Source organism: Homo sapiens, chromosome 4, assembly GCF_000001405.40.
Source record: "Homo sapiens chromosome 4, GRCh38.p14 Primary Assembly".
Taxonomy (NCBI): domain Eukaryota; kingdom Metazoa; phylum Chordata; class Mammalia; order Primates; family Hominidae; genus Homo; species Homo sapiens.
The window spans coordinates 15,747,350-15,761,148 of record NC_000004.12 but is presented as its reverse complement, the minus strand read 5'-3'; the positions used below and the strand labels follow the sequence as shown (position 1 = coordinate 15,761,148).

The 13,799-nt window shown below is 40.8% G+C and overlaps 1 protein-coding gene and 1 long non-coding RNA gene across 3 annotated transcripts in view; one reads left to right on the top strand and one right to left on the bottom strand.

Annotated features, from left to right (window-relative positions):
- Window positions 1-13,799, bottom strand: part of BST1 (bone marrow stromal cell antigen 1) — a 71,109-nt gene that overhangs the window by 13,025 nt on the left and 44,285 nt on the right. Inside the window, exon 9 of one of the 2 annotated variants that reach the window (XM_017008566.3) lies at window positions 1,860-2,005. The exons of the other annotated variant lie outside the window; for it this stretch is intronic. Within the exon in view, the coding sequence (XP_016864055.1) occupies window positions 1,963-2,005 (43 nt within the window). The 3' untranslated portion in view covers window positions 1,860-1,962. Of the gene's footprint in view, window positions 1-1,859; window positions 2,006-13,799 lie in introns of those variants that run through there. 2 annotated transcript variants of the gene reach the window in all.
- On the top strand, window positions 4,723-7,078 carry LOC107986186 (uncharacterized). Its single transcript, XR_001741393.2, has 2 exons — window positions 4,723-4,825; window positions 6,608-7,078. It is a non-coding gene; the product is annotated as an uncharacterized LOC107986186 (long non-coding RNA).

Below are 13,799 nucleotides of genomic sequence, written 5' to 3'. Positions count from 1 at the left end.
CACTTGAACCCGGGAGGCGGGGGTTGAGGTGAGCTGAGGTTGTGCCACAGCACCCCAGCCTGGGCAACAAGAGCGAAACTCTGTCTTAAAAAACAAAACAAAACAAAACAAAACAAAAAAACTATATGCCATACATAATGTTTAAACAAAAATATGTTGGCTGGGTGCAGGGGGCTCACACCTGTAATCCCAGCACTTTGAAAGGCCAAGGCAGGCAGATTACTCAGGAATTTGAAACCAGCCTGGGCAACATGGTGAAACCCCATCTCTACTAAAAATACCAAAAAAAAAAAAAAGCTAGGCGTGGTGGTGCACACCTGTGGTCCCCACTACTCATGAGGCTGAAGTAGGAGGATCACCTGAGCCCAGGAAGTGGAGACTGCAGTAAGCCAAGATCACACCACTGCACTTCAGCCTGGGTAAAAGAGACCTTATCTCGAAAAATAAATAAATAAATAAATAAATATATAGTATATATTTATTTATGCATGCTTACATATATAAGGAAAAATTATATTTTTACCAGACAACTATTAATTCATTTATTCAATTTATTTAATAAATAGTTTTAAGTTTACCATATGTCAGCACTGGATCAGCGATGAACAAACCAGACAAAAATCCCTGCCCTCAGCTACTTTAGAAAATAATCTGGCAATTCCTCAAAATGTTAAGCAGAGTGAACATGACCTGGAAATTCCACTCCTGGATATCTACCCAAGAGATATGAAAACATATGTTCACACAGAAATGTACATGAAGGTTCATAAAGGCATTATCATAATAATTGATAAACAGAAACAACCCAAATATCCTTAATTGATGAATGGATAAACAAAATGTGATATGCCCACACAGCGGAATATTATTGAGCCAAAAAAAAAAATGAAATGCTAACGCATACCACAACATGGACGTACCTCAAAAACATGCCAAGTGTAAGAAGCTAGTCACAAGAAGTAACATATTGTATAATTCCACTTACATGAGATATCCAGACTAGGCAAATCCATAGAGACGGAAAGTAGATTAGAAGTTCCCTAGGGCTGCATGTTGGGGAATGAGGAGTGACAGCCCAATAGGAATGGGGTTTCCTTGGGGTTGAGAGGAATGTTCTAAACTTGTGTGATAGTCACAAAACTGAATATGCTAAAAACTACTAAATCATATACTTTCAGGATAAATTTTATGTTTGTAAATTCGATCTCAAAAAAAGATGTTAAACAAAATCCCTCCTCACATAGGGTTTATGGTTTCTGGTGTAACTCCCTTCCATTTTTCCTGGTTCTGATATGAAGATAGCCCATTCCAGATTTGATGCCACTGGGTAAATACTGGGAGTGGAGGGGGGAAGTAAAGGAGAAAGCGGGGTATTGAGCCTTTATTAACTTATGGTAATATCCAACTAAATAGTAGCTCTTTGGTGCTGTACCCCATGACACCCCCTGTTACAGAAACAGGGAAAATGGTTTCCATTGGCAGAATAGTCATACGCTGCCTCTTACCAACTCTTAGGAAGAGAAATAAGGAATGAGGAAGAAGAAAGGGGATGGAAGAGAAGTGAAGAAGTGAGAAAAACAGGAGGAGGAAGAAGTTAGAGAAAGAAAAAAGAAGAAAAATGAAAATAGATGAGAAGTTAAGGTAGAAGAAAATGAAGGAGGAAATGGAGCAGAAACATTAACTGAGCATTTACTAAGTGCCAAACACCATACTGGGGTCTTTCTATACACAGTGTTATCAAATCTGCATAATAACCCCATGAGGTAAATATTCTTACTATACCTGCTTTACAGATTTGAAAACTTGAGTGTGGTGAATACAGCATTTTCAGAGGTGCCACTGCTGGGCGTTCTACCAGTCAGCCCTTGAGCAGCACATCCATCTTCTTTCGCCCAGAAATCTGGGTAGTGGGCTCCATAGTGGACCAGTAGTATAATCTGGATGTTATTCTTGGCTCTTTCCTTAGTCCTTCTCCGTCCCTGAGATGCTTGAGCTTCCTAATATTCTGTAATATACACCAGGAGATAGTTTTTGATATACATAACTAGGAATTTTGACTATGGCAGACAGAGGTCAGTTAACTTAACTGAGGACACACAGATACGTGTGGTGGAAATGGGACTTGATGCCTGTCCACCTGATTCCAAGCATTGACTCTTAGCCATGATTTCCTACAAAAGGCACTGAGGTGTGTAGGCCATAGCTCCGTAATCCACCTGCAGTGAAGACAACACCAGCATGCAGGTTGTGGTTCAGGTGGGAAATGTTTTGTTCTGTTTCATTCCATAGAAATAGGTAGGCATTGACGCCAAATACTTTATACATACTAAAACTTAATTAAATGATCTTAAATAATACTGCATATTCTCACTTAAATGAAGAATCTAAAACAATCAAACTCGTAGAACCAGAGAATAAACTGGTGGTTACAGAGGCTAGAGGGTGAGGGTGTTAGGGAGATGATGAACAAGGTACAAAAATCTCAGAAGGAATATGGAAGTTTCTTTGAAATCTATTGCATAGTGTGGTGAATATAGTTAACAAACAGTATCATACATTTCAAAATTGCTAAGAGAGTAAATTTCAAATGTTCTCATGACAAAAAAATGCTAAGGATATGATTTCATTCTTTTTTATGGCTGCATAGTATTCCACATATTTAGCAGCAACATGGATACAGCCGCAAAAGATGTAGCTTAGGATAATGGAGGCCATTGTCCTAAGTGTATTGATGCAGGAACAGAAAATCAAATGCCACATGTTCTCACGTTTAAGTGAAAGCTAAATATTGAGTGCACATGGACATAAAGATGGAAACAATAGACGCTGGGGACTACTAGAGGAGACAGGGCGGAAGGGGAGGGACGGCTGAAAAACCAGCTGTCAGGTACTATGCTCACTACCTGGGTGATAAGATCATTAGTATACCAAACCCCAGTGACACACAATTTGCCTGTGTAACAAACCTGCCCATGTACCCCCTGAAACTAAAATAAAAGTTGAAAAAAAATGCTAAATATTTGAGATGATGGATATGTTAACTAGCTTAATTTAATTATCCTACATTGTATTTATAAATTATAACATCACGTTGTATCCAGAAATATACACAATTATAAATTGTCAATTTACAATAAAAATTGTTATTAAAAATGCTGATGTTATTGGGTTTTTAAAACATTAGACATTTAATGTTTAAGAAAATCCCACCGGGCGCGGTGGCTCATGCCTGTAATCCCAGCACTTTGGGAGGCCGAGGAGGGCGGATCACCTGAGGTCGGGAGTTCAAGACCAGCCTGATCAACATGGAGAAACCCTGTCTCTACTAAAAATACAAAAATTAGCTAGGTGTGGTGGCGCATGCCTGTAGTCCAAGTTACTTGGGAGGTTGAGGCAGGAGAATCACTCGAACCCAGGAGATGGAGGTTGCAGAGAGCCGAGATCCTGCCATTGCACTCCAGCCTGGGCAACAAGAGCAAAACTCTTTCTCTAAATAAATAAATAAATAAATAAAATTTTTAAAAGAAATTCCCTATAAAGGATTCTCTGTAATATTAATGGAAAGAAATGGTGAAGAGGGAGTGAAGTTGAGGAGAAGTTTTCTTTAACAGGGGACCACTGTTCAGAACAGTCTGCGGGGCGGGGTGGGGGTGTGCTTTTGTCCTCTTTATAGACAGGAGGATCATTATTCTGTTCAGCCAAGGTCACAGGACTAGGACAGTGGAGCTGGTATTTGACCTTGGGCCCAAAAAAATACACTGCAGTTCGTGCAGGGAGAACCAAATGGTCTACCTCCACCCTCCTGGGTTCTTTGGCATGGCTGTGAATTAAATCAGCACACAACAGATTAGCAAGAAAAAAAGCTATGTTTAACTACACACGTTGGCACAGGGGTCCCGCGAAAATATGAGAGTTGAAGAAAGACCAGATGATTGAAGCTTATATAGCAGCCTGAGCTACAGAAAGGAATAGGAGGAGCTTGGGGCTTCTGAGGGTGGTAGAGACAAGCTATGAGAAGGGGAGGGAGGAAATATAAGGTGAATAAAAGTTTGTCTTGTTATGCAAATAAAGTATCTCAGGTAATAAAAATTGTCTAGGAACAGCCCTCTTCCTGATACAGATGGTTTTACTAATATAGATTTCTTTTACAAGAAACTTAACTTTCAATTTACAATAGGCATACATTTCTTTTACAAAGGGCAGCTTTTCAGAGATACTCCTGCGTCTGCAGTGTATCTGAATAACCAGCTTGAAATATGCCAGGAAGTGTATTTTGGGGTGGCACATCTTGTCTCCCACAGTATGTTTTGAGGTGGTGCATCCTGAGCCCCAACAAATGAGCATCTTGGAAAGAGATATGGCTGGCCATTGCACAGCCAGTGCACAGAAAAATGTGAATAGCACTCCAAACCTCACCCTCCGAGGCCGCTAGGGGGAAAAACAGCTCTCCACAGCGCAACATACCTGCTAGATGTTACAATAACCCAAGTCTATGATGATGACCTGAGTCATTCATAGAAGATATACCCATTAAGGACATCATCTTCATAAAACTAGTTATATGCAACACGTCCTATGTCAAAATGTTTCTCAACATGTGTTAACCTATCAAACACACTCTCAACTAATCTCCACCCAGGTCAGGAAAATGTGGTTGAGTGTCACTTCCTGAGTCTGGCTGGTACTGCAAATATAAATTCAACGTTTTTTCAAACACATCTCACCCCCAGACCTGCCATTGGCATGCACATCTTTAACCACAAACCACGATTGAAAATGAGAAAGAAAACTCTCCTCTAGCTGGGCGCTTCATAGGACTAGCCAGGTACGACCATCTCTGAGGGTCTTTGACAGCTCAGTTTTACTGCATAATCTGTTTTCAAGACCCTTTAAAAGACCAGATTGTCTAGTACTTTTCTTTTATGAGAAGAGCTTCCCCCAACCCACCCTGCAGTCTTTTAGCAAAAACACCAGAAAGTCGGTTTTTCCCCCTTGTTTTGTTGTTGTTTTTGTTGTTCATGGTGGTGTGTTTTGTTTGTTTCAGTTTTATTTTTTCAAATTCCATGGTTATTTTCAAAATGAAGATCTAGCTTACAGTGTAATTTTTAAGTTTATGTTTATGTTGCAGAGACTGGGAGAACTGTTTAGTCACCACCTTGAGAACCTTAACATCATCTATCAGTTTACATGGTACTTGCCCTGTGGAGGAACTCAGAGCTCTCAGATTGTTTTACCTTTATTCCCTGGAAGCTTTGGACTATTGGAATATAAGCTGGAATAAGAAACTCATTGATTTGAAATTGGAGTGAAGTGATTATCTGTCTAATAACCCAATGGTTAAGTTTTTTTTTTCAAATAGGGTTTTCAGAGTACACAAATGAGCACACACTCACACACTCACAGATGCATAAACACTCTAAGACCTTCATCACTGGTGGTAACCACCACTCTACATTGACTGAAGGTGACATCTGGACTCAGCATTTCTTTTTTCTTTGGGGCTTTTCACCCATAAATAATATGCAGTTGTTCAATTCATTGCTAAACTACAGAGATCCAGTGAAGAATGAATACATTAATATTGCAAATGCATTTACTCTTTGACTCACTGACCCCATTTCTAGGAATTCAACCTACAAATATCTCTGCCCACATGAAAGATAATAAATATACCAGATTAGTCATTGCAGCATTGTTTATAAGAGAAACTGGCGCCAGGCACGGTGGCTCATGCCTGTAATCCCAGAACTTTGGGAGGCCAAGGCGGGCGGATCAAGAGGTCAGGAGTTCAAGACCAGCCAGACAAACATGGTGAAACCCCATCTCTACTAAAAATACAAAAATTAGCCAGGCGTGGTGGTGCACACCTGTAATCCCAGCTACTGAAGAGGCCGAGGCAGGAGAATCACTTGAACCTGGGAGGCGGAGGTTGCAGTGAGCTGAGATTGCACTACTGCACTCCAGCCTGGGCGACAGAGTGAGACTCCATCTCAAAAAAATAAAAAAATAAAAAAAAGAGAAACTGATTGCAAACAACCTAAATGATGTTCCTAACGGGGTGGGTTAAATAAATTACAAAACATCTCTCCCATGGAATATTATGCAGCTGTAAAAAATAAAGTGAGGGATCTCTGTATGTATTGATACAGAATAATCTCCAGGATGTACTATTAAGGAGTACAAAGTATTTTGTGTTTAATGCTTCCTTTTGTGTAAGAAAAGGTAGGGAGTAATAACATGTATTTGTATGTGCTTGTGCAAAGAAACCCTAGACAGATCTACATGAACTTTAAACAAGTGGTCATCCGAATTAGAGGTGTGGGACCAGAACAGGGGACAGGAGTGGGAATGAGATTTTTTCATAGTGTTTTATTTTTAAGCCATGTGTATATACTACCTTTTCAGAAATAACATAAAAATCACCAAATGTAAACTAAAACAAATCTACGTACTTAAATTACAAAAATGGACCGCTGGGAAAGAGCCCGTTTTTTCCATCTTTTCAGGCATGCTTATCAAATACTTCATCAGTTGGAAATTCAACAAAATAAAGTATGTGTGCAGCTACATCTGACGTTGATTCTTTATCTCATTCAAAACCACACAGTGCTGACAGCAACATCCTTCCTCTCAGCATTCATGCTTCTGCTACCACCCAGGGGCACTGAGTTCACAGCCAGCTCACAGAAGGTAAGAAACTGCACACAACCCTTAGAGAGGAGACAATCTTAGACATGTGCATGCTTCAGAGAACATCTGGAAATTCTGCAATGTTCCTGAACTCAACATACCCCTGTTTCCTTGGGTTCTTTTAGGCCAGTTTTCACAATGGGGTCACACTAATCCTCACAACCTCTACTTTAGCGACTCATGAAGCCTCTATTGTTCTGCAGAACACCATCCCCTTTCAAAGAGCCTCCCTCTCAATATTTCCGGGGGTCTTCGTGGGGATTATCACATCTGCACTTGAAAAAGCTGCCCACAGTCCCACAGGCCTCCATCGTGGTTTTCCTCTCTTTTCAATCTCCACTGATGATACACACGAAGAAGCTGTGGCCTCACACCCCCCCACTTGGCCTTCCAGATCTTCCAGCCTCTCCCTTTGGCTCTCTGCCCTGGATCCAGCCCCAGGAGGCTCTCCCAAAGGAAGGAAGGTGACTGAGGTCCGGTTATCCATTCCCTCAGCTGGCTTCCTCCCTGCAGGGTTGCCTCAGGCCACTGGGTTCCTTGACAGAGGCCACTGCTCTTCTCCAGATGACCTCTCCATGGGACTCTCTCCTTCCGGATTCCCATGACCTCCCTGTTGCCTCACTCTGTGAGGCCTTGGTGCATCTCTGTACACATCAATGGTTTGCAGATAGTCCCTATTAAACCTCCTCCGATTTTCCTGATTTGAGTGTGCTATCTGTGTGTCTGGATGGGCCCTGACCGATTTGGACTCTCCCTGCCTGCAAGGCAGTTTATGTATGTCCCATCATTGCCTTTGGTGGGCACCATCTCTGCGAACCTCCAGCTGTGCCATGGCTGGGCCACACTTTGAGAGCTGGGTCCTATCCCAATACTGTTTGTGGCTCTGTGTCTCGTAACATTCTTAAAGACCCTACTCTTTCTCCTTAGGGCTCACCTAATGGAGAGGGATGCTACTAATAATTATGCAAGGACAAAGGACACCCACTGGCGCGATCGTGAGCCATTCAGGATGTTTGGTTTCTACATGTATACACAGGAGCACACACATACATAAAAAATCTCTGCTACAGATACGATGGATACCTTCTAATTCTTCTCCCTTTTCCAGACCGCCTTTATCTGAAAAAATCCCTCCCACAAATGGACTTCTGAAAGTCCCATGCTATCAGCTCTGACATATCTGAGCCCCAGAGATAGAGACAGCTTAGACAGAGGCTGGAACATATCTAATCTGAAATTTTAGAAGAAGAATGCAGCGTGCTGTATTTTGGATATGACATTTATATCAGAGAGATGAAGATGGAGGGTGATATATTGCCAGATGAAATGCTAAGAGGACAGCCACTTTATCTTCTTAGTGATTTATATTTAAATATTTTTTAGTGATTTATATTTATATTTCTTAGTGATTTATATTTAAATATTTCTTAGTGATTTATATTTATATTTCTTAGTGATTTATATTTAAATATTTCTTAGTGATTTATATGTAAATCACTTTATCTTCTTAGTGATTTATATCTTCTTAGTGATTTATATGTACTATTTACATTATCAACCAGCATCAATGTGCAGTGGCCAGAAGCCTCTCTCCAGTGGGCCTTTACTGGCTTTCCATCTCATTCCAAAAAAAGCCAGTGAAATAGCCTGCAAGGCCTGACCTGATCTGGCCTATTTTCTTCCCTCACCTTGATCCTGCCATCCTGGCCTCCTTGCCGTTCCTCAAATAGTTCAGACACATGGCTACCACGGGGCCTTTGCTTCTGCTCCTTCTGCTTGAAATGTTCATTCTATAGATATAAGAATGGCTTGGGAGGCTGAGGCAGGTGGATCACTTGAGGTCAGGAGTTTGAGACCAGCCTGACCAACATGGAGAAACCGTGTCTCTACTAAAAATACAAAATTAGCTCTGCATGGTGGCACATACCTGTAATCCCAGCTACTCAGGAGGCTGAGGCAGGAGAATCACTGGAACCCGGGAGGCGGGGGTTGCAGTGAGCCGAGATTGCGCCATTGCACTCCAGCCTGGGCAATAAGAGCGAAACTCTGTCTCAAAAAAAAAAAAAGAATAGCTTGATTCCTTCACTCCTTCAAATCTTTGTTTAAACATCATCTTCTCAATGAGGCCTATCCAGACTTCTCATTTAAAACCATAGCCCCAGCCTAGCTTTCCATGTTGTATTATTTCCTGGAGCATGCATCACCTTCGAAAATACAATTTATTCCTTATACAAGCTATTTATTATCTCCACCCACTAGAATGTGCACTACAAGAACATATGCACAATTGCCCATTTACTGAATAGATCCTAGAACTTAGAAGAACACCTGGAACTCATAAACACACAATGATAGCTGTTTAATGAATTAATGATCAAAGCACAAATCTGATCATACACCTCTCTTGTCAAAGTTTTTTAATCTTTTATGGTTTTCCTTTGCTTTCAGTGCAAAACTAAATCTCCTTAGCATGTTTATAAAACGGCAATAATTCATTTTCTAGTCTTATACGAGCCACGTTCCCACTGCCATGAGTTGTTGCAAGAAATAAATTGTTATAATACACAAAGGAGAAGTGCTGGATTCTGTGTGCTGTGATGAGAAAAGAGACTGAGACATAAGCATATTAAGATGAAGAAAATAGTGACTACAGTGTATATTTATATACACTATACACAGTACATCTATACATAGATGTATATACATAGATATATACATAGATGTGTGCATACTATATGTGGATGTATACATTATATCTATGTATATCTATAAGATATACATATACTATATAAATATAGATCTATAGATATACATATAGTGTATACACATATATCTATATACATAGATATAGTGTATATCTATATACACTGTATACACAATAGTGACTATAATGTATATATCTAGATCTCCACTATGTAGGAAGAGTATTGAATCTTCCCAGCACCCTCCCTTTATGGACCAATGCTACCTTTCTTTTGAGGAATTGCTTCTCTTCCTCTTCTGAATAAAAATACCTGTCTTCTTTCATGGTACCACCTCCCTGATCACAGCTAGTCAATTGTAATAGTCAACCCAGCTTGCCATAGTCATTGGCCCATGGTGGTCATGTGACTCCAGCCCTGCCAATCAGAATGTTCCCCGAGATTTTTTTCAATTAAAGGGGATTATAAGGGGAAGTTATTTCACTCACAGGCCTAACCACCGCACAGACTACACACTTTTCTACCTTGTAAAACCCCACTCTTGTGACAAATTAATTCATATAACCCCTCCTCTTTAAAATCTTCTCTAACTTGCTCACTCACCTGCCTATCCACTCCATGCACCACCCCTGCTCTAGTATAAGTCTCTGTAGTGCATGAACTCTGTTACACCTGATTCATGCCTCTGGTAGCCCTGTCTTCTCAATTAAATGTTACTGTTTGTCTTCTCCAAACACTAGGCTGAGAGCTACTTGAGGATAGAAAATCATGTGGATTCACCTTTGTATTTCCAGAACCTACCATAATGAGTTTTGACTGATATTGCACACCATTCATTGTGGACCACCTGATAATTTATTCTTGATCAGTACTGACCAGTAGAAATATAATATGAGCCATATATAAAATTTTACATTTTTATAAGCAGCTATATTATTAAGGAACAAAAAAACCCAGTTACAATTAATGTTAAAATATATTTTAATTAACCCAACATATGCAAAACAAGCATGATCATTTCTACATGTAATCAATATAACAATTATTAATGTGATATTTTATATTCTTTTATCTTTGTACCAAGTCTTTGAAATATGGTGTTCATTGTACACTTACAGCCCATCTTAGTTGGCACTAGCCACATCTCAAATACTCAGTAGCTGCAAGTATTTTGTGGCTACCATACTGGACAGCATAGTTCTGGATAGTAGTTCCTTGAGAGCAACATCTGTCTTATTCACCCGGCTTTCTTTCACAGATAATTAATAAACCTCTCTCTAGTTCTAAGCAGAGACATATTAAAAGTCTTCCACCTGAAGGGATGGGAATGAATTGCCAAATACTCTTTGCTTATGTTGAGTGAAATAAGCCAGGCCCAGAAAAACATACATCACATGTTCACACTTATTTGTGAGATCTAAAATTCAAACCATGCCAGGCACAGTGGCTCACTCCTGTAATCCCAGCACTTTGAGAGGCTGAGGCTGGTGAATCACCTGAGGTCAGGAGTTTGAGACTAGCCTGGACAACAGAGTGAAACCAAATCTCTACTAAAAATACAAAAATTAGCTGGGCATAGTGGTGGGCACCTGTAATCCCAGCCACTCAGGAGGCTGAGGCAGGAGAATCGCTTGAACCTGGGTGGCGGAGGTTGGGCAGCAAGAGCAAAACTCCGTCTCCAAAAATAAAATAAAATAAAAATCAAACCATCTGAACTCATGGACATAAAAGGTAGAAGGATAGTTACCAGAGGCTGGGAAGGGTAGTGAGGGGATGAGAGGTAGATGGGGATGGTTAATGGATACAAAAAAAAAAAAAAAAGAAAAGAATGAATAAGACCTACTGTTTGATAACACAATAGGGTGACTATAGTCAATAATAACAATTATGTATTTTAAAATAATTTACAAAGTATAACTGGATTGTTTGTAGCTCAAAGGATAAATGCTCGGGGGGTGGTGAATACCCCATTTTTCATGATGTGCTTATTTCACATTGCATGCCTGTTTCAAAACATCTCATGTACCTCATAAATATATGCTACTATGAGCCCACAAAAAAATAAATTTCAAATAATAAAAAGTACTCTTTGCTGTCATTTGCTTGTGAATGACACCTGTGCTACCTTTCAGGCTTGTTATGCTGCTAAGCAGGGAAGCTCTTTAGTTCTAATTGAAGAAGTGATTTCCAGAGCTATTCTTTGCTTTGAAAACATAATAAAATGACCAGGACGGTGATAGAATAGTAACTCTTTCATCCATGAAAGCAGATCTGTAGCAATAATGAATTTTGAGGTAGAGGCAAAATTGAAAGGATCCTAGAAAAGATCCCCTGAATAAAGTAAAATAACAACAACGACAACAACAACAAAATCCAGACTCTCAACTGTGAAGCATTTGGATCAAGTGACAGAAAACCCGCTCGTAGCAGAAAGTGCTGGTGTCTCGTGCTTATTCATCTTGGCAATGACCGTTTCTGGACCCATCCTCTCAACTTCCAATGGGAAGCACCTGTGACTGCCTGAGAGCCTTCTCTGACTTCCAATACCTGTTCTGCCCCCACACGGGGCAGCCTGGAAGTGTCAGGAATTAATATCCTTCCTGGGAGTGCCCTCAACCAATGACTGGCAGGAATGAAGGATAGACACCTCAGCTTCCCCATGTCTTTGATTAATTAACTCTGAGAAATTTGCTACACTGTCAGCCAAAGGTCCCCGCAGGATTAAGCTCCAGTTGCCCTCAGTGACAACTTGCTTGGTAATGTGTCCTTTATGGGCTGCTTCCCTCCCTCGTCTCATCCTCCCTTCCTCTGGTGTGCTGTGGCATTTCAATTACTGCGACTCTTGCATGAAGTGAGCTATGATGGAAGAAAGAGAAAGAGATGCACTGACTTACACGCTATTATAGCAACTGAGAGATGTCATAAAATGGTAATCATAAGGAATGTGGAATTAGCTGTTGCTTTCCACTACCATCATGTGCTAAGGGAAGAAAACAACAGGATCAGATCAACTACCAACTATCAACTCGGGTGTAGTGTGAAGTCAGAAGACCTCAATGGCCCTCAACATTGAAGGAGCCCCTCACCCCCTGCAGCCAGAGGGCAGACTGTGCGAAAATCCTACAAGCACAGCATGTTCATTATGATCACAGCAGAATAATCAAGAAACTTTGGTCTCTATTCCCAGCCCTGGCAGATATCCTTCATTAAAGTCAAGGCCTTTGTGGGGAGAGAGTAAGACCCTGAGATGGGATGGGGACATCTTTGCCTATGAAATGGCACACCTTGAACCCCTAGATTCCCATGACCCCCCAGAGAGTTGGCAGGAGTCGCTTTCTCCCCCTCTTACTGAAGGATAGCAGCTCCCTTTGCCTGGAAACTGTGCACAGCCTTGCATTGCAAGAGGGTGCTTGCCTCTTCAGAACCTGTCTCCCTTCACTGCTTCTAGACAAATAACTAAGCTTCAGTATCGGCACCATGCTCCTGGGAAATACTGTCCCTTATTTTGGAGAAAAGGGATTGTTAACCAAAAGAATTGTAGGATCTGCCTAAATATATGTCAGGAATTGGGAAAGCACGCATGAGAATGGTGTTGGACTGATAATGGTGGTACGTAATATACAAGGCTGGATAAGAAAGAATGAGTTGATAAAAGGGTACTCTCTCATGAGTCAAAGTTTAATGACCTGGCAAGGCACTTAGAGCTGGTCCTAATACAACTGTAGGAATGGCTCATTGAAATCTGGAGAAAAGAAGGCCTGAAATAAATGAGATAAGGTTGGCTGGACACAGTGGCTCATGCCTGTAATCCCAACACTTTAGGAGGCCAAGGAAGAAGGATTGCTTGAGGCCAGGAATTCGAGACCAGCCTTGGCAACATAGCAAGACCACATCTCTACAAAAAATAAGAATTTAAAATATTAGCTGGGCATGGTGACTTGTGCCTGTAGTCCTAGCTACTCAGGAGACTGAGGAAGGAAGATCACATGAGCCTAAGAATTTGAGGCTGCAGTGAGCCATGATGGGACCACTGTGCTCCAGCCTGGGAGAAGGTAGGAACTTGTCTCTAATAAATAAATAAATAAATGTTTTTAAAAACTAGATAAGATTTATTTACTACTGTGCTTTGGCTCAGGGAGATAAGCTTACTCCAAAGAATGACATAGAATAACACAGCTCGCTGACAATGTTTCCAAGAGAGTCCAAGAAGACAGTCTTCATTAAAACAGTAAAGAATGTGATGGTGATGGGGGTACTGGCTTCACGGAAAAACTCCGAAGTGGTTTATATTCTGAAGGCCAGGATTGATGGTAGTGATATCATTATGGGACTGGGATTCCTAGTACCAAGAAGCAAAATAGGATTCCAGAATAGTGGAGGCTTGGTGGCAGCAAGGCAGCCATGACT